Raw genomic sequence first — 22,182 nt, forward strand, 5'->3', positions numbered from 1 at the left:
ACTGAATATTTTGAGAAGGGGAAACATGTCCTACAGGTTGGCACAGAGATGGGACATGGGCCTTGGAATGACTTTGGAATCTGAGTCCTCCTGACTTTCAGTGTGTCACTGTGGCCGTTCTTCTCTTTCTTGAGAGTTATAATTGTGTCTCTTGTTGTCCCTGGCCTCATCTTTACAGTCTGTGGGGTGTTCACCCCTCATTTGCTCTCTCTGGTGTCCACCAACCCCTCCCTTGCCATTGCCTTTTTCATCCTCTCTTACCCTCTGGTTAGCATTTTTATTAGAAAATGGAAAACTTCAGTGATTATATGGAAGAACTGTGTCCAGCTGCTCAAACCCACCCAGTTTCTGTTTTTAGCTTCTCCACCACTTAAAAATAAGCAGCATCAGGTCCCACTTGCCAAGCCTTTGTCACAGTCTCCAGCAGCCATTCCTCCGGCCATCTGCTCCTCCAGATGCTCAGCCTGTCCCCACCTCCCGTCTCAGCCCCACATGCAGCCCCTCTGTGGATGAGTGAGGGGCTGGCAAGCCCACAGCCTCCAGCCCGACTGTGTCATCTGCCTCCCTTCCCCATGTATGTTTCTAGTTTTGTTTTGACCCACGTTCCTGCAGCCCCCCATCCCCGGCTTGTTTGCTCCCACCAATCCTGTGATTTCCAGGGAAAGGATGCTGCCTGGAAAAGAGGGATGAGTTGCCATGGAGATTTGAATATACACAGGAAGCCATGGACACCTCACACCTGGAAGTACAAACGAGTTTGACGTAAGTTTAGTTTAGCCCTAAGGTTTAGTTGGTTTGGGTTGCAGTCCTTCCCTTTGGAAGTCAGTGTCTTAGACGGAAGTTTAAAGCCAAGTGTTGCCATAGCTGAGTGTTGTCGTGACATTCCTCCATCTCATCTTAGTCTCTTGGATCACAGGCAAACTACTCAGAGGAATTGGAGGTCTGCCCTAGGCCAGTGTTCTGAGGGGCTTGCTGTAACCAGGCCAAAAGTCTAGCACCTGCCCTTGCACCTGAAGAGTGGGTATATTCACATTCACAGGGAGAGAAACTGCCCCGACCCACCCCCTGTCATGTACCGTAGAGACCATGTGGACAACTGGTCACCCCTGCCTGAGAACAAAGTGATTCTAATGAGCCCCACCTCCCATTCTTCCTCTTTCTTCTGGATTTCAGGAGTGTCAGGGGAGGAAGCTTGGAATTGGCGGCTACACCTTGCCTGTCTGTGGCCGGGGGCACAGGAGGCTCCTCCTCACTCTCCATGTGATGACACATGGTGGGCAGGATAGGAGGGGCCTGGTGGTTGAATACTGTGAAGGAACATTCCCTGCCCTGGGATGCATTTCTCTGGGTCTCAGAGGAAAGGGGGTGCATTTTTGGCATTACTCCTAATGCCCCCATAGACCAAGCAAGAACCCTGCTCTGTGATGAATGTAGGGGAGAACAATTCGCCCTTTCTCAACAGGGCTCTGCTGACCTTTTGGGCAGGACGGCTCCGTCCTGCACATTGCCGTGCGCTTATTATCCCTGGCCCCTGCCCACCAAATGCCACATTGCCTTGTAGTCATTGAGACAACCAAACATGCCCAGCAACTTTTCAAACATCTCCTGGGGGATAGTGCCACTCTCATTTTTTGCTGCCAGGAAATCAGATTGCTACAGACTAATCAACACTCTGAGAAGAGACCGGGACCAGACCAGAGCTCTCTTTTATCCTGATAAATTCCTATTAATGAAAATCAAATTCTATTTGTCCATTATTGCCTTAGCTGATGAACTTGGCAACTCTCTTTGTCATACCTGATGGCTTTTCACTGTCTTCTGGTATTCCCCCATTTCGTTTATAATTCTTCAACATGAATTCTCTTGTCAAGGGAGTTTTCAAGTATCTAAGCCATGAGGATGGTGACTTAACACATGAGGCATGCCTCCCACTCGTGAGGCTTGCATCCCGGTGATGAAGGACCACAGGGGTAATCGCTGTAGGACTATGGAAAGGAGAGTGTAAGAGAAAAAGCCTTTAAAGTGGAGGCTTTGGCCCTGTGGCCCTAGAGATTCCGAAAGTTAGATTTATTGATGTAGCTGGCTGGTCAAAGGGAATATACCCTCTAATTTTGTCCATATGACCTGTTTCCTCCTGGGAACTTACCCCGAGAGCTCCTATAAACCAGTAGCTGAGCCAGGAGGTTCCCAAGGTGGAGAGAGAGATCCCTGATGTCAAAACCATCACCTTCCAAAATGTCCAGAGAATGCAAAGAGGAGAGATGGATTGCAGCTGAGACTCCTGTCCCCTTTGCTGTTAGTTATTACCCTCTTGTGGATGAACCTGACAGATCCCACCCCCTTTTCCTTTCCTGTAGCCCATCATTCTTTTTCCCCACTGTTTCACTGTGAAAATGAACAATGCTCTGTTCATTTTGCTGCTTATTGGCATGGCTAGTTTTGTCAGAGGATGAGGCTGTTGGTTAAAATTAGGTTTTTGGATTCCTTGATCATCGTCTATTTTGTCTCCTACCCACTCACCCTGGGGGATAATCAAGAATTGCCTATGGGCATCTTGATTTCTCCTTTAAATCCTTTTAGTTTGATTCTAACAGGCTGTGCTTTAACATTCTTGCTTATTTAAATTTTTTTTTAATTTCTAAATTTTTAAAAAACATTTATAAAATTGAATTGTAGTCATTCATTTCAGATTTTAGTTGCCCCCCCTCTCCTTCCTATCTCTGAGATCAGCAGCTCCTTCACAGTTGGTATGATTTTGACTTTTTTTTTTTTTCCTAAGTAGATATAGGAATTTATGGAACCATGTAGCTTAGAATATGGGGGTAGTCACAGAATCAAAGGAAGCACGGTAGGAGCTGGGGCCTCAGGGCTGGACAGAGGAGTCCTATGCCTCCAATACACGCTGTCTGTTCTTACCTCCCTTGGCCCTCAGCTCCTCCTCCTGCTGTGTCCAGTCCTTACCCTGCCCCAAGTATCAGCTCCACAGTCCTGCTTAGCAGCCCCAGGCAAAGAGAGTCTTCCTCTCTCAGTACCTCTGTTGATTATTTAATACTTGTAATCACTTCCTACAAAAGAAGAGCCACTTAGCTTAACAAGCTATGTGCACTCTCGGTAGTTGACGTTAACAAAGGAAAAATCACACAGGGCCTTTGTGTTCCCTTCTCAGGATGTGAGGCTGGGGGAGACTGATGGGGTTAGAACAGAAGTGGTGGAGTGTCAGACTCAGTGGATCCCTTAGGAATCAAATGTCTTGTTAGTAACCGCAGTATCTGGAGAGAATTACTTGGACGTATTTATGTCAATTAAGACAATTCATATTTTCTTAATCCATTTTGGATCTTCCTCTGTCTCCCAACTTCCTCTCACCCTGCCTCCCTAGTTACTGCTAGTTGAGTCAGTAATACCCAGAAAATATCTTCCTCTGCTTTAGAATGCAGAAAGTGGTAGATTAATGTCCCATTATTCTCAGAGGTGAAGAGTGCTGAATAATAAGCCTGCTCCTTCCCCATTTCTCTCTCATTAACAGTTTTCACACCATGTAGTTATCTCGTACCAGGTCTTGTCTGACAGTGTCCTCTTGTACGTGCCTGTGGCCTCCTAGAGCAGGGGCAAGACTAGAGGTAATCTTGCCTGGTGGCCTCTAAGTAGAGACACCCTACATCACTGGAGAGCATTCCAGAACAACCATGATCGGGCAGACATCTCACTGTCCACTGCACAGCTTCTCTGTGAGCAGGCCACACTTGCGTCTGGCAGCAGTAAAAGCACGTTCCACAGTGATGTTGGAGCAGAGAGCCGTGGGTGGGGAGATGGGGTGACAGAGGGTAGCAGCCAGATCTGAGAGTTAAGAACAGACCCTGGGGCTGGCAGGAGAGAACAGGAGGAGTCAGAAATTCATTTCTCTAGATGGAGAGGACACTGACCATGATGCCAAAGCAGTCACAGGAGATTCACAGTAGGGCCGCATAATAAGTAAGCCTCTTGCTGAAGACTCGCCCTCCAATTTAGTCCTTTTTGCCTGTCATGAATTGCATCGGCTGCTGTCATTGAGTCATTCCGAGTTCTGTTTGTAATTGGAACGCAGCTGAAATTAGGGTGCACGTGACCCTAGAGATGTGTGGGTTTCTGGAGGATATTCAGGAAATATCTCCAGACCCTTTGCTCCCTCTTTCTCTGTGTCTGTGGATTAGGCGGAGGTGCTTATCAGATACCCTGGGCCCCTGCATGTCCCGCTGCTGTGCTGTACCTGGTTCTCATTCTGAACACACGGTCCCTTGGGGTGGTCCCCGTGCATGTGCTGATAGGGCTCGCACACTCCAGCACAGCGACCTCACTCAGAGGGGCTCCCAGAACAGTCAGGATAAAGGCTTTGTTTGCTTTATGAAATCCCTGGGAAAATCTTAAAAGGAGAAGTGCAATAAAGAGCTAGGAAGGACAAGTGGAATTCTTTATTGTGATGCTGTAAAACACCCCTCCAGCCTTGAGTATTTCAGGCACGCCGATACACTTCATCCTCAGTGCCGACGTGTGCTGCGGGTGAAGTGTGGGCCTGAGCTCTGACTCCAGCAGTAGGCTCGGCTCACACTCATTGTCCTACACTCTTATTATGAGATTGCTCTTAATAGCATGTCAGGTTTAGGGGGTGGTTGGATGGCTTCCCAGGGTCAGTGTAACTGGCCCAGGGGATCATGCTGATCTTGACCTAATTCCATGGAGCTATATATACTAGTTATCACAGACAGCAGTTTGAAGTTCTTGCACCTGTAGGTTTACATGCAGAAAGCAAGTGGAGGTGGGAGGGCTGCTAAATCCTAACTGGCTTCAGTGCTTGTATTCCACATGTCAGAGGGAAGCCCTCGCATTTTGTTCCACCTCAAAGAAACAACTTGGGGTATGTCACTTCTTTCCTTAGGGTAGAATGAACATGGTGCAAGAGTACACTTTTGTTTTGTTTCGAGACACGCTCTTGTTCTGTCACCCAGACTTGGAGTCCTGTGGTGTGATCATGGCTCACTGCAGCCTCGAACTCCCGGGCTGAAGCAATCCTCCCACCTTAGCCTCCCGAGTAGCTGGGACTACAGTCATATGCCACCATGCCCAGCTAATTTTTAAATTGTTTTTGTAGAGATGGTATATCACTATGTTGCCTAGGCTGGTCTTGAACTCCTGGGCCCAAGTGATCCTCCCACCTTGGCCTCCCAAAGTGTGAGATTATAGGCATGAGCTGCCACGCCCAGACAGGAATTGAAGTTTTGAGAGCTGTTTAAATAATGACCTGGTTTGGGCTCTGTGGGGAGGCGTCCTGGGCTGGTGACAGAGAAAGCTGGATGGTATCTTAGCCCCATTTTTTCCACCCTTGTCATGAGATGCTTTCTTGCCATTTTTCCCGTAGGCCCGATACTTCTCCCCACAAGCTCGCCGTCGATTCCACGCTGCCCTTGCTTCTTGTTCCACCTCGATGCTGATCCTGTCCAACCTGGTATTTCTTGGGGGCAATGAGGTTGGGAAAACCTACTGGAATAGGATCTTCATACAAGGTAAGTTGCTTGACAGTGCTGTTTTCAGTCAGTTTCTTGTTTTCCATGTATGCGGATGGGATCATACATGGGATGGATGGGATTTGGGGGAAGTCATTCATTGTTATGTTCATGGCATGTGACCTCTAAAGTACCAGCCAGGAATAATTTCCTAAGTTTGACTATGACTTTAAGTGTCCCCTGTTTTTGAGGTACCCCATATCTCCTGTATGTGATACTTGTTTAACACCAAAAGGTATTATTCCAACTCTCCCAAAGTGTATATTCCCTTCCATTACACTATGTTTCCAATTATTTGATATTTCTTAATCTTTCCTACTGCTGTGGTTGAATATTCCCTTCAAAACTCATGTTGAAACTTAATCCCCAATTGGCATTATTAAGAGATGAGGCCTTTAAGAGGTGATTGGATCATGAGGGGTCTGCCCGCATGAATGGATTAACCCATTCATGGATTAATGGGTTATTATGGAAGTGGGACTGGTGACTTTACAAGAAGAGGAAGAAAGACCTGAGATAGGATGCTCAGCCTCCTCATCACGTGATGCCCTGTGCTACCTGGGGACTCTACAGAGAGTTCCCACCAGCAAGAAGGTCTTCACCAGATGCAGCCCCTTGACCTTGGACTTCTCAGCTTCCGTAACTGTAAGAAATAAATTCCATTTCTTTATAAATTATACAGTTTTAGATATTCTGTTATAATCAACAGACAACAAAGACACCTACTGTCTGTGGGTCCTAGCCTGCAATATACTGCAAAATCTAACCTTGTTTTGTTTATTGCTCTGAACGTCCTACTAGGAATTTGCCCTAGAAGCTTCCTTGTGCTCTCCTGAAGCTGTGGGCATGGCATCTGTGTTTGCCACAGCTCTTGGTTGTGGGTATTTTTGTGTGAATACTAGGGGCCAACCTTATGTTTAATGTGCATTAAATAGATAATCTGAATATCCAAAGCAAAACCATACTTGCAGCAGGTAAACTGCTACTATGTGGGAGTTGTCAAAACATTCTATTAATAATTGATCGTTGTTTATTTATGGTCACCATTTCCCTTGGGCTGGGACTGAGTTACATCATATCTATAAGAGAATTGGGAGATTTGGAACTACTCATGGTACATACTACTATAGCCAACTTGCTACATCTTAAAAGAGAAGATCCCTGCTCTGTTCCCTGCCCAGTGACACAGTCTTGTGCTTTTGCTTTGGGAAGCTTTGCCAAGTGGTGATGACATAACTCTGCACAGCTGGCCCATTATCTCCACATCTGGGTCCCTGAGGAGGCAGCGGTGCTTTTGCTGCAGCTCTTTTCACACCAGAAATAACAGCAACACAGCTGCAGTATTCCAGAATGGCAGACCATGGGCCTAAACTGTGGCAGCCTTGGGTGAGCCAGGCTCAAAGGGCCAAGAGAGAGTCCTGTTCTACTTTAATCTTGTCACTAAAAGACCCCTCTTTGATCTTGTTTTCTGTGCGATGTTTTAGCTGATAGTTCCTGAAAAGACCACGTACTTTCTAAGCGAAAGCTGTCCTTTAATAAAGATGAGAGATAATAGGGCATTATGGATCTAAAGATAAAGGTGGGTTACAGCATCCTTTACTTTTCTTGGCTCCTCTCACAGAACCTAGCACAATGATAAGAACATTGTGACTTGGTGGGGGGAAAGTGCGGACTTGGTTTGCTTGTCACATAATGAGGAGGCTCTGATTTTCGCTTCCCTAAATCAAATGCATTGGATGTTTGCTACTTGCGAGGCACTGAGAACACAGAGATGAAAAAGGAAGCTCACACGAATGTGAGTGCCAAACACACAAAAATGTGCAGTAGATTCAGGGAATTGCTCTGCTGGATGTATGAGTGAGTTACTGGAGGTCACAGGATAGAGTAGCTGACTTTCCACAGAAGATGGGCTTTTCAGAAGAGGTGGCATTTGAATTGAAGTAATAATTTAGGAGTTTGCTAGGTAGAAAAGGCAGGCATATCAGGGAAATTAACACTGGCTGCTTTGTGTGAAACTCCAAAATCTTAGTAATTTCTCACCATAGAAGTTTGTTTCTCTGACAGTTCAATACAAATCCAGTGGCTTTTTCTAAGCAGTGACTCCAGGACCTAGAATCTTTGTTTTGATTCTCCACTGTCTTGTGCTGGCATCATGGAGGGGAAGAGAACATGAGACTGGTGCACCAGGTGCTCAAACATGTGACATTTCTGCTTACATGTCATTGGCCAGAGCCAGTCATATGACCAACCCAAGTACAGGGCAGGGGTGTGTAGGGAAGCATGCAGATATCAGTGTGCACCAGCTGTCTATGGCACAGCAGGAGAGGCACATGGGCCTGGTCAGAAATGCCCAAGAGGCAGTTGGAAATATGAGTTGGAGAAGATGGTGGGACCAGTGATTGAGATGTGTGGGGGTCAAGGGCGTAAAGATTGTATGTGAGGCCAGGGGAGTAGACACAATTAACCACGGAGCTGTGTAGAATGAGAAGAGAACAGGTGGGAGAAACCCCAGGGAATGCTGGTATTGAAGGGGGCAGAGAGAAAGGCAGGAAGATCAAAGTGTGACTTGCCTGACATCCTATGGAGTTAACCTCAGTCACATGGGATTGGGCTCTGAAAACCCGGTCTGCTGCTGCCTCATGGGACCAGCTATGGTCTGTGACTGAACGCACTATTTGTGTCCTCCTTGGACTCAGGTGCCACAGCCCTGGGAACTCTGATTCTATAAAAGTGGAGGGCTCTGTGGAATCATCTCTCTTCTGGGTTCTGAGGCCAGAGAAACTCAGCTTAGAAGGCTTTTTCTATGTCAGTGATTATCCAAATGAGCCTGTTTGCATCTCTGCTGGTCTGTCCCATGGGCCTCCTGAGTCAGGGAATGTCTGCTGGGGTTTTGGCAGTTGCCGCTTCGTCTATTCCTTGCTGTGGGTTTTTGTCCCTGAAGGATTGGGTTTAGATATCTCTTGGAGGAAAGTGAACCAGATGGTGCCCAATCTCCCATCCTGGAGAACTCTGGATTTCATTTCATAACTAATTTGACTTGATAGAAGATTAATATGAATATTCATGTTTTGGTGAAAAAAAATAATGAGTCTATACGATGCTCCCTCAGTCTCTGCTGGGGGTGTTCATATATGAGCTTTCTAAAGTTAAAAAAATCTGAATTCCGAAACTCATCTGACCCCAAAAAGTTTAGTTAAGGGATTGTCAAACTGTATATGGAGTTGTTGACAAATGTGCACCTTTGACAGCCTTGTAGTCTTGGCATCTTCCCTGGGACACATGATCAGTTCCTGTTGCTCCAGAGCCCATCTTTACACACTGAGGAAATAGAGTGAAGCGAGTGAGAACGCTGACTTTAGGCATGGAGAGCATTTAAGCTCAGTGTCTAGATTTCCAGGTTTAAGGGAAAGGTGGCCCTTCCCTCTGCACCTTGATGGGTTGGGACCTGCTGCAGCAAGAGGGAGGAACCACTGACACCACATCCCTCTAACAGGTCTCACCTCAGAGTCCTGGAAGAGCAGGAAGGGGCAGACGGGTATCTAGGAGATAGGGATTATTGAGGAGATTTGCACACACCTCACAGCTAATGGGGTGTGGATACACATGTGTCTTAAAAGATACACCTCATTGTTTCCCAGGGAGCCCTCTCCTGGCATCACTGATGTGCCTAGAAGTATCTCATGATTCGCCTGGAAAAGTTGTCTTAAAATTGGTATCTTCCTGTCACCAGTTCACTTGAATTTAGCCATAGATTTGCTTGCTCTAAACTACAAAGTTTATTTTAGTGATTTCCATGAAAATGTCTGTCCTGGTCTCTGTGGGTCATATGGGTGATATGAGGCTGTAAAACCAGACCCTTCCCTTTCTGTTGTGCCCCTGCCCTGCTGTCTAAAGAGTGGAAGACAGAGTCTGAAGGCAAGGGATAGAAATGCTCAGTGGCAAACCTAGGGCTCTGGTAATATGTCATCCACAAAACAGTTTTGGTCAGGAAGTGTTACCTCTGCTGCTGAGGTTGAAGAAGTAGTGTTCAGTTTATTCAGCAGAAAATAAGGAATCTATGTTTTTGCTTTAAAAAAAACTCCAAATTTTTAATATTGAAGTTTACTTCAAGCTGCTTGAGGAATATGCATATCTAGGGCTCACAAACTTTATTTAAAAGACTTAGCTGGTCCATGGATCTGAGAAGGATATGGCTGGAGATTTGGTCCAAATGCTGTTCTAGGAGGAATTCTGCTGTGTCATGCTTTGCAGAGACCAATGCAGGTTGCTTTTTACAAGCCCTTTGGCTCTCAGAAGCACTTGTTAATAGAAGGAGCTTTCTCATGCCTACCATAAATCTTTGACATTGAAGCATAATATCTTCAACAAGCAGCTGAATAGAGCTCTGTAATTCAAAGGTATCAAGGAGTTGTAACTCCAGACCAGCAAGGCCAGTCCCCATAAACCAGCTGTGACCTAAGCATCTTGGCAGTGATCTCTCCACCGTCCTGGGGTAATGAGGAGAAAAAGTATTCAAGGGGGGGTGTTTATACACTGGGAATATATCTGGCCTTGAGAGGGTGGAGAGCCTTATAATGTGTGTATGGGTGCAGAATGGTGCTTCTTCTGAAAAGTCTGCCTGCTTTTGTCCAGGGAAGCCATGGACTTTGTTTAAAAAAAAGAAAAAAAAGGAAAACCAAAACATTTCCCAAGTGGTGGGGCCTGGATCACTGGGGTGATCCAGTGATAATGTTGCAGTGACAAGAGCTTGGTAGAGATGTGGCATCCACCAAACATTGCCTTGTCTGATGCCTCATTACACACACACACCTGTACACACATGCACACGTACACACATGGATGTTTGTTTTTCCTTCTATTATCCTATCTATTTTGGCAAGCTCTGCCTTAACACTTAGCTCCTGGAGTGACCCCATGCCAAGGCAAGGAGAATTTGGTTCTTTTTCCCTCTAGATTGCAATGAGAGAGGAGCTGGTAATTTTCTTATGCAGGTCCCCATATTTTCTTGCTATTTCTAGCTGAGAGAAGAGAAAGTATATTTTCTCCCTGATTACTAGCTTGTCTGAGCAGTTTATTTGTCTCCTAACTCAAATGGTTCTGGACAGGCATTTTATTTAAAGCTGAACTGGAGTATTGCACTAGAGATTCTGGAGGGTTGTTATTAAATAGAAACTCATTCCCATCATATCTTCTTAAATTCTTGGGATTAAAAATTTCATTTCTGATGAAAGAGGACGGAGGGCAGGTGTCGGTGTCTCAGAGGCCATCCTTTCTGATGACTTTGTTTCGCGGTCTTTCCTAGCCCTTCCCTCTAAGTGGAGTTTTCACTGCTATCATTGATTGTGTCTCTACCTCACTGGATCCTCTGAGAGTTCTAGAAGAGTTTGAGAAGCAGGTGCTTCCTGTGCATCATACCTAAGGGTGATGAGGTTGACATGTAGATGTAGGTTAGACAGTCTATCCGTGTTTACATCATTGGTCCATTTATGACCATTCTTGGAATCTGAATGTCAAGACTTGCAGAAGCCTTGGTTTCTTTACTGTATGCCACATGGCCAGCCAGAGGCCTTGGGCATTAGTTTTCCTACAAGTAATTCCAGCCAAGTCAACCAGGCATAGAATGTGAGGAATAGTGAGTGAAAGTCCTTATTCAGAAGTGCACCTGGGGTTGTGTTAAAGCTGAAACAAATTCTAAAACACCCAGGAAGGGCTTTCAACCAGAGAACACTTAAAGCTTTTGTGCTAGGTTATGGAAACTTTTTCCTGCTAATCAGAGTTTCCAGGGCACTGAACGCTGACCACTTGCTGTGTTGCCACATTGGTTCCCTATGGCTACTGTAACAAGTTATTACAAACTTGTTGGCTTAAAACAACACAAGTTTATTTTTCTTACAGTTCCGAGGACCAGAAGTTTGAAATCAGTCTCACTGGGCTAAAGTCAAGGTGTTGGCAAGGCTGGTTCCTTCTGGAGGCTATAGGGGAGAAGCTGTTTCCTTACCTTTTCCAGTTTACAGAGACGGGTTTCTTTTGGCTCATGCCTTCCTTCCTTCCTCTGTTTTCAAAGCCAGCAGTGTAGCATCTTCAAACCATGTTTCTTCATCTCTCTGCTTCTGTCACACATATCTGCCTCTTGTCTTGCTGTCTCCTCCTGTTTCTGTTTTTTTTTTGTTTTTTGTTTTTTGTTTTTTTTTTTTGAGACGGAGTCTCTGTCACCCAGGTTGGAGTGCAGTGGCATGATCTCAGCTCACTGCAACCTCCGCCTCCGGGGTTCAAGGTATTCTCCTGCTTCAGCCTCCCGAGTAGCTGGGATTACAGGTGTGCACCACCACACCCGGCTAATTTTTGTATATTTAGTAGAGACGGGGTTTCACCATGTTCGTCAGGCTGGTCTTGAACTCCTGACCTCATGATCTGCCCAACTCAGCCTCCCAAAGTGCTAGGATTACAGGCGTGAGCCACCGCACCTGGCCTCCTCCTCTGTCTCTCTTATAATGACCTTTGTGATTCCACTGGGCCTGCCCGGATAGTCCAGAGTAATCTCCCATCTCAAAATCTCTCATTTTGATCACCTTAGCAAGGTCCCTATTGCTGTGTGAGGTGACTTTGACAGGTCTGGGGGCTTAGAGGGTGGGCATCTCTAGAGGAGCCGTTACTCAGCCTACCGCAGCATGCTGACATGGGCAATTGCTATGGTGCAGAACACCCCTTGGTGACACCACTACCATAGCTTCTTTCTAAAGAGATTTGGTTATAATAGCAATTTGGATGTGCCACTAGCCTCCTTAAAATGTGAATCTCCCTGTCAAAAGAAATAATAATTAAATTTCACAGAAGGACACAAGTGAGATTTGTTATCTTCAGGGAATTTCAAGGGTGGTGTTGAGGACTGCTGCAGTTTTGCCTGCTCAGTGTTTGTTTCCAATTCTTTGGTAACAGCCCCCTGCTTTTCCTTTGGGAACAGATCTCTCCCACCCGCTCTCAGTCTGTGTGATTCAGGTGGGGCACACCCCGTATCTAAGATCTGCAAGCAACATGCGACCCAGGACTCGCCAGGCAGTAGGGTCCATCTCCCTGTGTGATACAATTCCAGAGCTTTTGCTGGAACTATTGGGAAGCAGAAGCAATCTCTCCTTTGGAGTGTGGAGTTGTCAGGATGCAGAGCTGGAGCTGCTGAGCCCTCTCGTCTTCCTAGTGGACAGCCGTGGAGGCGGGGGGCCAGCTCAGAGGAAGGCAGAGCTGCAGGATGGAAACTGAAGCCATATAATTTTGAGCCCCTAGATCGAGGAATGCCTGAAGCCAACATATCTTTGTATTTTTCTGTTACAGGAGGTTTATTTTTATTTTTTTTACTCAATCCATGTTGGGAGACAGCATTCCAGGGCTTTCCTGTGTTTCTGCATTTCTTACAAACAGAGGTACTGGCTACCTTTGTTCCCAACTATTTTTCCTGGAATATTTGTATAGAAAACACCTCCGAATTGTCCAGCTACTAAGCAGCAATATCAGGTGAGATTATAAGCCCTTTGACTCCAAATTCTACTCTTCTCTCTCTGCTCTGTGAGGCCTAAATCATGACAGGCAACCACTGTTTACACCATGAACCATCCCTGGGTGTCACTATCAGAGACAGTCTAAAGTGCCTGGTTAATTGTTCTGATTCTTAGTACTTCTCCACTGAGCAAGTTGGGAGGGTGACAAGAGTCAGACCTTCCAGCCTCTGGGACTGATAGACCAGCTTGAGGCTTGCTAGCTGGATTGGCACTGACCAGTCTACACACCTACAACTCTTTATCCCAAGCCTGCTCAGTTGGTCAAGGACTCTGGCTTCCCTCTTTAGATTTACTCTGACATTGCATTAGATTGCTCCCACGCCCTGTTTCCAGTGTAATTACTCTTTTCCAGACCAAGAAAGCAGTGGAAAGAGGAAATCATTTTGTTTTGGCACACAATTTCAAAGACCAGGGAAACAGAATTATCTCAGGGTGGCTGTCATAAGAGCTGAGGGCCTGTGACTGTCACATGTAAGGGCGGCGCTGGAAATGCAACAAAGGACAACAGCATGGCTGGCTGTGGTTCTTGTCTTTGCAGTGAAGATCAGAAAGTGGAATCCAGGGGACCTTTTCCTTGCCTCAGGAATTCTATCTGGCATGATGGTCATTTATCTTGAGTGTAATTAAGGCACTCAAATCTTTCAGTTAATATTCAACAAATGGGAGTGAAGACTATACAAAAAAACTTTTCATTATCTTGAAACAAAGACGGAAAAAAGCAAATCCTGTTTTGTCAGCACCTGTTTGGTATCATGTAAGATTGTTGAAGGGTCAGAGCTTCCAGCTGACACCTGTCAATTGGGCCTAGTTGGGCCATTTTTCTCTGTACTAACCTAACTCTCCCAGCTGCCGGTGGCTGCCCTGATCACATTAGCTGCTGCTGTGGAGTATTCTCTCTAAGGGGAAGCTACTGAAAGGGCAAAGCATGGAAAAGAGTGTGTTACGGTTGAATTGTGCCCAGCTGATGAAGTCCTAACCACCAGTACTTCAAAATGTGACCTTATTTGGAAATAGGGTCTTTATAGAAGTGATAATGAAGCAGCATCATTGTCTAGGGTAAATACCCGAGGTTTGTCATCTCACAGCAAGGAAATCGAGTATGCGGACACACAAGAAGTGGGTTTAGGAGTGGAGGTTTAATAGGCAAAAGAAAGAGAAAAGGGAACAGCTCTTTGTCTTGAGGAGGTGATGTCTGATTTACATAGGGCCCAAAGATTGGTTGGACCAGGTGTGATGTTTACATGGCATGAGGAAGCTAGCCTGGCTGGTGCCATGTCACCTGCTCATTACTGTACACATGGTTGGCAAAGAAAAGGGAAGATGGAGCCGCCATTTTGGACATGCCTACTCCCCCCATAGCCTCTTTCCTATTGGCACAACTGCCGGCATTCAAACTGCCATGCCAGCTTCCAGCTTGCTTGTCTATGTCTGCGTTCGATTTTACAAGCTGCTCTTTGTTAGAAAATGGTTTGGGGGCTGCTTTTCATTAAAAGGAAAACCTTACCGAGGACTTCCTCACTATCTGCCTAAATAACTTCTTCTTACTTCCTATATCAATAAGTTAAAAATGAGATTATTAGGGTAGACTCTGGTGTCCTTATAAAAAGGGGAACTTTGAATACTGAGATAGACATGCACAGAGGAAGATAATGTAAAACCACAGGGACCCAGGCGGCCATGGGGAGATGGAGGCAGGGATTGGAGTGATGCTGCCACAAAGGAACACCTGGAGCCACCAAAAGCTGGGAAGAACAAGGAAGGCTCCTCCCCACCAGATGTTGAGGGGAGCCTGTCCCTGCTGGCTCCTTGATTTCAGATTTCTAGCCTCCGTAACAAACAGACACTAAATTTCTGTGGTTCTAAGCCACCTGGTTGGTAGTATTTGGTTCTGGCTGCCCTAGGGAATGAATATAGGGAGGATTCTGTTGTGTGGAGTATGAAGTTGGGGTAGGGAGAGGTACTGAGATGGGCTGCCAGTGACTCTTCCTCACTGTAAGAAACAGTTCATGAGTCCAGCAGCTGGAGGGCCAGAAACGCCCACTTCAAATGTTCAGGTCCACATGATGGTTAGACTTTGCTGTCTGGGCATGGGCCCTAGGACAGACATTCCAACAGTGTGAAGTGAGGATGGGAGTAGTCAAATGCCCGGTCGCAGCAATGTCACATGGTTATCCAGAGGCACAGTGAGGGCCCTGGGAGGTGAGAAGCAAGGAAAGCCAGCCTTCTGGTTCCTGGAGAGCCATTGTCTTTCACAGGTGATCCAGGTCAGGCAAGAGCAGGGATGTGGTAGGTGAAGGCAGGTGAGCAGAAACAGGGCCCCACAGTGAGTGTCCCGGATGCACCAATAAGCCACTTTTAAAACAAAGCCAAACTTCCAGCCCCCGCCTGACTTCATATTTATCTTCTCCTCTTCTGCCCTTCTCTAACCCCTGACATTGATTACACAGGAAGCAGCAGATAGGAATAACTAGCCTGGCAGTGTATGTCACCCTGTGTCAGGCTGGCAGATTGAGGCTTCCGGGCAGGGCAGGCAGAGCTGATACTCCACTTGAGAGCCACCCTGCATCCCACCAACCCAGGGCCGAAGCCTTTGTCCCCTGGGCGCTTGCTGGCGCATGTGCCCACAGAGCCTCTCTGCGCCCTTTTGTTCTCCTCTGGCTATTGTAGCGTGCCAGCTGCTGACCACTCTTGCCCAGAGAAGGAGGCAGCTGCTAATTTTAGCCCTACTTAGGTCTCCAGACAGCACATCTCAGGACTTAAAAAAAAATATTTTTTGGTTACATTTTTACATGACCTTGGGAAACAAAAAATTGGGAAGACTTCACCTGATATCAGTAAAATGAAAAGGGAAATTTAACCTTTGTTTTAAAAAAGTTATTGTATTTCTTTGCTGTTAGAAATCTCCTGGGGCCAGGGGCAATGTCTAAGAGAGTTTACTTGTAACCTGTGGCTTTTAGTGGGGTAAGAAGACAGACAACTGAGCGCTAAGCCACGGGATAGAACATTCCGCCCAGAGAGCACTAGGAAGATGTTTCTGGCCTGCTTGGGGGAGGCCAAGCCACCCTGTTGATGACAAGGGAATGTGGATTTTTGCTGGGTAAACCTGATTTCCGTTTTTCCCCATTGTTTACATGTTGGGTAGATGGGACCACTCTCATTTGTCTTGGTTCCAAGCTGGGTCGCCTCAGTGAGAAGGCCTTTGAAACACATCTGTTGAATCATGCACAGCAGGGAGCCATTTGTGTTCTGAGGGTTGTCAATCATAGAAAATCTGAAAAATACCAGACAACATAATGGCACAGCAGCCAAACCATGCCTGGACATTTTCTGGTCACACAGGTCTGTCTGTGGAGCTGCGCTTTTTCTCAGACAGTCATTGGGTTTCTTTTTAATAAGCTAGAAGAAACCAGCTAAGTTTTAACTTAACAAAATTGTTCCTGATCTTGTTGTTTTTCTGTTTGTGTTCACAGTTATCCATAACTTACTTTAGTCATATTTGAAGCTAACCTCTTGATTACTTTTCTCACTTTATGACCGCGCTTTAAGATTGCTGGAGGGTTGGCTCATGACTTTTGGATTGCAATACAAAATTTCTATCAGCCAGGGCTTTACTAAGAAAAGCAAAAGTACATGGCAAGGAAATAAGCAATGTGGGAAGCATCTCAGCTTATCTGAGGCAGGAGAAAGAGGGACAGTGGTCAGCTGGGTCTGGGTGCAAGGCTAAGTTATTTTTACAGAGAATACTGCTAGAAGGAGAGGGTTTTGGGGACATAGTGCTTTGATATATGCATTGAGGACAAAAAGGTGAATGGCTCAGGGATGCACCAATAAGCTGATTTTAAAACAAAGCCAAACTTCTAGCTATCACTTGCCTTAATATCTGTCTTAATTTTGTCTTCTGGGTGAGAAAGTCACCATAGAGGAGGTGACATCAGAGGTGGGCTTAATGGATGAGTAAGTCCAGACTCGGGGGATGGGGCACAGCCTGTACAAAGATATGGAGGTATAAATCATATATTCAAGAACTGCAAGCATCCTGGGATCATAGCCAGAGAGAATGCAAGGTGTGATATTGATGAGTAAGCTGTTTGCACCAACAAACACCAGGAAGGTAACCTGAGGATCAGAGAAGCCCATACATGCCATGCTGAGGTGTGTGCACTTCATCCTTAGTAGGCTGAGAGAGGCAGGAACTACAAGGATTTTTGCAAGAGAGTGACATGATTTTCATCTTTGAAAGATCTATCTAGAGGTCATGTGAAGGGGAGCAGTACTAGGCGCAGGGTGATCAGGGGGAGGCGGTGGGAAAGATGATGAGGCTGTCAGCTATGGCTGTCGCGCATCAAAGGACAGAAAAGATGGAAGAAGAAATCTTCAGAGTTCTCCCAGGGAGAATTTTAGGGAATCTGTTAAGTCTTCATAATTTGTACAATAATGGTTTTGGTACCTCTGAGATGGGCAAAAATACTTGAGGTTTATCCTTTTTATTTGGTAGCTCATTATAGATTAATTTCTGAAGTTTGGAGAAAGAATGGTCACTCCAGATTTCCCCTCTGTTTCTTTGGCTTTGCCCCTAGAATTTGAAAGGATATGCAAGTGCCAAGGAGAATGTCAAAACAAAGAGGGGACGCTTTGCGGAGATGAGCCACTTATTCCACGTACTACCTGAATGAATACTTTTTCCAAGGCTAAGTTCGTTCTGGAAGGGGGGTGCCTTTTATAGAAAGTGTTTGTTCTCTGCAGATATTTTACAGATATTTCAGGTTCGTCTTTTGTTTCCTTAAACATCAATAAGCATAGCTGCTTTGTAATCTATGTTTGATACTTTAAATATTTTAAATCTGTATGAATCTGTGTCTGCTGTGTTCTTGTACTGCTGGGTTTTACCCCTAACTTCTCTTTCCTTGGATACTTGGTTATCTTTGTCTATGTGCTGCCCATTATCTTGCTTAATTACATGTGAGGTATTCCTGAGGCCTAGTGTGAAGGTATCTTCCTCCAGACAAAATTTGTGCTTGTATCTGCCAGACCAATAGGGCTGACCCAATAGTTACATTTCCTTAGGGAGGGATTCACTTCCCTCCCCTTCTCCTTTGGAGGTGGGAACTAGGTTTACTTCTGGTTCACCCTTAACCTGAGGATGATTATGATTATTTTCTGGGCCCCAGCTTAATGTGTTTTTGAGGTCCACCTGTTAGACTTATTGCTTTTGTCAGGCTCTGGGATTTTTCTTCTGCTATCTTATCCCAAAGGCTGCAGCACAGTCTAGACAGACAGATGTCTTCAGGAAAAAAACAACTTTAAGAACTTTCTTTGCCTCCTTTGGTTCTCATTTTCTCTTAGATTTTGGCCTGGTTATTCCTTACTGTCTTTCCGGAATGTTGCTAGCTGTTTGGGGAAAAAATTAAAATATTTATCTGACAATTTTAGAATTCTATTTTCTCCCAGTGGTAGTATTGGTACAAATAATATACCTACCATTGCCGGAAACAGAAGTCTTAGATTCTACAGAAATCCTGCTTTTCCTCTGAGTCAAACATCCCAATTGAAACATCTAAGGTATGACAATATGCTTCAAATATAAATAGGAAGTGTTAGGTAAATGCCTTATTAGTGAATTCATATTGAATTGCTAAGAGAAGTTAGGTGTGTCTGAGATATCCCCTGATTTCTGAGGGCTGTTACAGAGACAGTGTAGGATGGTAGTGGAGGACTCTGGAATCAGACACAATTGAGCCACTTTACTAGTATGGGAACTTGGACAAGGGACCTAACCTCTCTACTACTCAAATTCCCACCTGTAAATTGAGAAAAACACCTACCTCGTAGGGGGTTGTAGAGATTAAATACGATAATAAATATAACCTTACACAGTTCCTGGCATGTGATGACCCCCTACTAATGGTAGCTGGTTATTGGTACTGGTATTATATTAACATTATTCTGCCACATGGCCCCATTTTTCTTCTATCAAAATAATTTGGTGGATATGTACATGCAAAAGAATGAAGTTGGATCCATATCTCACATCATATACAAAAGTTAACTCAAAATGGATCAAAGACCAAAATGTAAGAGCCAAAACTATAAAACTCTTAAAAGAAGATAAATCTTCATGACTTTGGATTAAATAATAATTTCTCAGATATGACACCAAAGATACAAGTAACAGAAGAAAAAATAGATCAATTGGGTGTCATCAAAACTAAAAACTTTGGTGCTTCAAAGGACAACATCAAGAAAACGAAAATACATCCAGAATATGAGAAATTTTTGCAAATCATATAATGATGAGAAACTTGTATCTAGAATATATAACTCAATGATAAAAAAGACAAATCACCCAATTAAAAATGGGCAACCGGGCATGGTGGCTCACACCTCTAATCCCAGAACTTTGGGAGGCCGAGGCAGGAGGATAATGAGGTCAAGAGATCGAGACCATCCTGGCCAACATGTTGAAACCCCGTCTCCCCTAAAAATACAAAAATTAGCTGAGCATGGGGGCACACGCCTGTAGTCCCAGCTACTCGGGAGGCTGAGGCAGGAGAATCGCTTGAACCCAGGAGGCAGAGGTTGCAGTGAGCCAAGATTGTGCCTCTGCACTCCAGTCTGGCAACAGAGTGAGACTCCGTCTCAAAAAAAAAAAAAGGGGGGGGCAAAGGACCTGAATAGATATGTATGCAGAGAAGATCTACAAATGATTAATAAGCACATGAAAAGACATTCAGCATCGTTAGACTTCAGGAAAATGCACATTAAAACCGCAATAAGATACTACTTCACAGCTACTCAGATGGCTATAATAACAAAAAATGGAAAATAACAACTGTTGGTGAGGATGTGGAGAAATTGGAACCTTTACTGCTGATGGGAGTGTAAAATGGAAAACAGTTTGGGCTGCAGTCTGGTAGTTTCTTAAAAAGTTAAACATAGAGTTACTATATGACATAGCAATTCTACTCCTGTATATGTGCCCAAGAAAGATGAAAACTTATGTTCACACAACACTTGTATGTGAATTTTCATACCAGCATTCTGTGTAATAGCCAAAAAGTAGAAACAATCCAAACATCTGTCAAATGATATGTGGCATATCCATACAATGGAGTATTATTCAGCAATAAAGAGAAATGAAGTACTGATTTATGCTACAACATGGATGAACCTTGGAAACACGGTAAATGAAAGAAGCCAGTCACAAAGGACCACATGTTGTTGATTCTATTTATAAAATGTCCAGAATAGGCAAATCTATAGAGACACAAATAGAATAGTAGTTGTCTGGAACTGGGAGGGATAGGGATTTGTAGGGTAATAGCTAATGGGCATGGGTTTCTTTTTAGGGGATAATGAAATATTCTAAAATTGAATATGGGGCTTGGTATGGTTGCCTATGCCCATAATCTTAGCACTTTGGCAGGTTGAGACAGGAAGATCACTTCCCTTGAGTCCAGGATTTCGAGACCAGCTTAAGCAACATAGAGAGACCCTGTATTTACAAAAAAAAAAAAAAAAAAAAAAAATTCTTTTAAATAGCCAGGTGTGGTGGCATGTGCCTGTAGTCCCAGCTTCTCTGGAGGCTGAGGTGGGAGGATTGCTTGAGCCCGGGAGGCCAAGGTTGCAGTGAGCTATGATCACACCACTGCACCCCAGCCTGGGTGACAGAGTGAGACCCTCCCTCAAAAATAAAATACTTAAAAATTAAAAACAAAAATGATTGTGGTGATGGTTCAACAACTCTGTGAATATACTATGAGCCACTGAATTGTGTTCTTTAAATTGGTGATTTATGTGATATGCAAATCTTATCTCAATAAGCTGTTAAAAACAGTTTAAGGTTAAAAGATAATTGATCCGATATGGCCCTATCTGCTCCGTCCATCTGTCTATTTGTCTTCCCATCCATTTTATCCATTCATCCATGCACCCAACAGCCTGTCCACTCTTCCTTCCTTCAACCCATTCATTTGGCCATTTACCTTTCCTTCTGTCCTCCCAACTCATCCCATGCCATTTTGCCTTCCTCCCTCACTCTGTCAATCCAAAACAAAAAACAAAATACAAAAAAAAACTTGATTTGCTGCTCATCTGCTAAAGTTTAGTCTGTACTAGTCATCATGTAAGTCTCTGCTTTTCATCATGCTAGTTTGGCATTTCCAGTGTCCTTGTGACTTGCCACTTAGCATAAGATGAGTTTTCCAAGCTCTCCAGAGGAAATGCTCTTTATCAATCCATCCAGTAAACAGATGGATGCATAGATGTGGGGAGTTTGATACATAGCCAGCGTCTTGCTGAAATGGCAGGAACATCCAGGTTGCATCTCACCTGAGAGAAGTCCTCAAAATGGTGTGCAGAAAATTTGGGGTTTGTTGTTTGCTATGACATCTCAGTGTTAAATGTGCATGACACTCACTCTTTCCTCCTTTCAGTGGCGCAGTGCAGGTTTGATGCCTGGTAGCTGCATTCCCCATTATTAACACAATGTTGAGTGATTTCAAGGTTGACCTGGTTCAAAACAACTTTCTTAATGAGACCGTTCCCCTTTGTGTCATCGTTAGTATGATGTCAGTTCTTCCCTTGCCCAACCTCCAGTACAGTTGTTTCCTAACTTTATTGCCCATCAGAGTCACCTGGAAAGATTATTTAAAATGCAGAGTCCTGAGCTCCTGCCTTTAAGAGATTCTGATTCAGTGGGTCTAGGGTAGCATCCAGGAACCAGTGTTTTAAGGAGCACCCCTAGTGACTCTTGATTGGAATGTTCCTTGTACTACCCTGAGATACTCTACCATAATTGATCTGTTAATGCCAGCATTAGTTAACAGTATGGGAGACTTCTAATTTCCCTGCCTGGCTAGTGCTCATTTCTTCAAGCCTGGAAGTGTTAATCCATGGCTAAGAAGAAGCCATTACTATTCTGTGTATCTCCGACTGAGTTAGTGGGTAGATTATAGTGCTTTGAGAGTTTCGAAGGTGGCAAGAACTCAGCAGCCCTAGGCAACTCTCATATATCCAGTGATGTAGATACTACAAACTAACTTATCCAAATAATCAGTGTCTGGGGTTAGAAACATACTGTTTGATATTAGATTTTT

General features: G+C 44.6%; 1 protein-coding gene across 18 annotated transcripts in view; it reads left to right on the forward strand.

The window, feature by feature from the left end:
* HHAT (hedgehog acyltransferase) overlaps positions 1-22,182 on the forward strand; it is a 348,963-nt gene that overhangs the window by 290,806 nt on the left and 35,975 nt on the right. For all 18 annotated transcript variants that reach the window (XM_047424804.1, NM_001122834.4, NM_001170564.3 and 15 more), the window contains one exon: positions 5,393-5,537. In XM_047424804.1, coding sequence (XP_047280760.1) covers positions 5,393-5,537 — 145 coding nt within the window. The remainder of the gene's footprint in view (positions 1-5,392; positions 5,538-22,182) is intronic.

Source organism: Homo sapiens, chromosome 1 (genome assembly GCF_000001405.40).
Source record: "Homo sapiens chromosome 1, GRCh38.p14 Primary Assembly".
Lineage (NCBI taxonomy): Eukaryota > Metazoa > Chordata > Mammalia > Primates > Hominidae > Homo > Homo sapiens.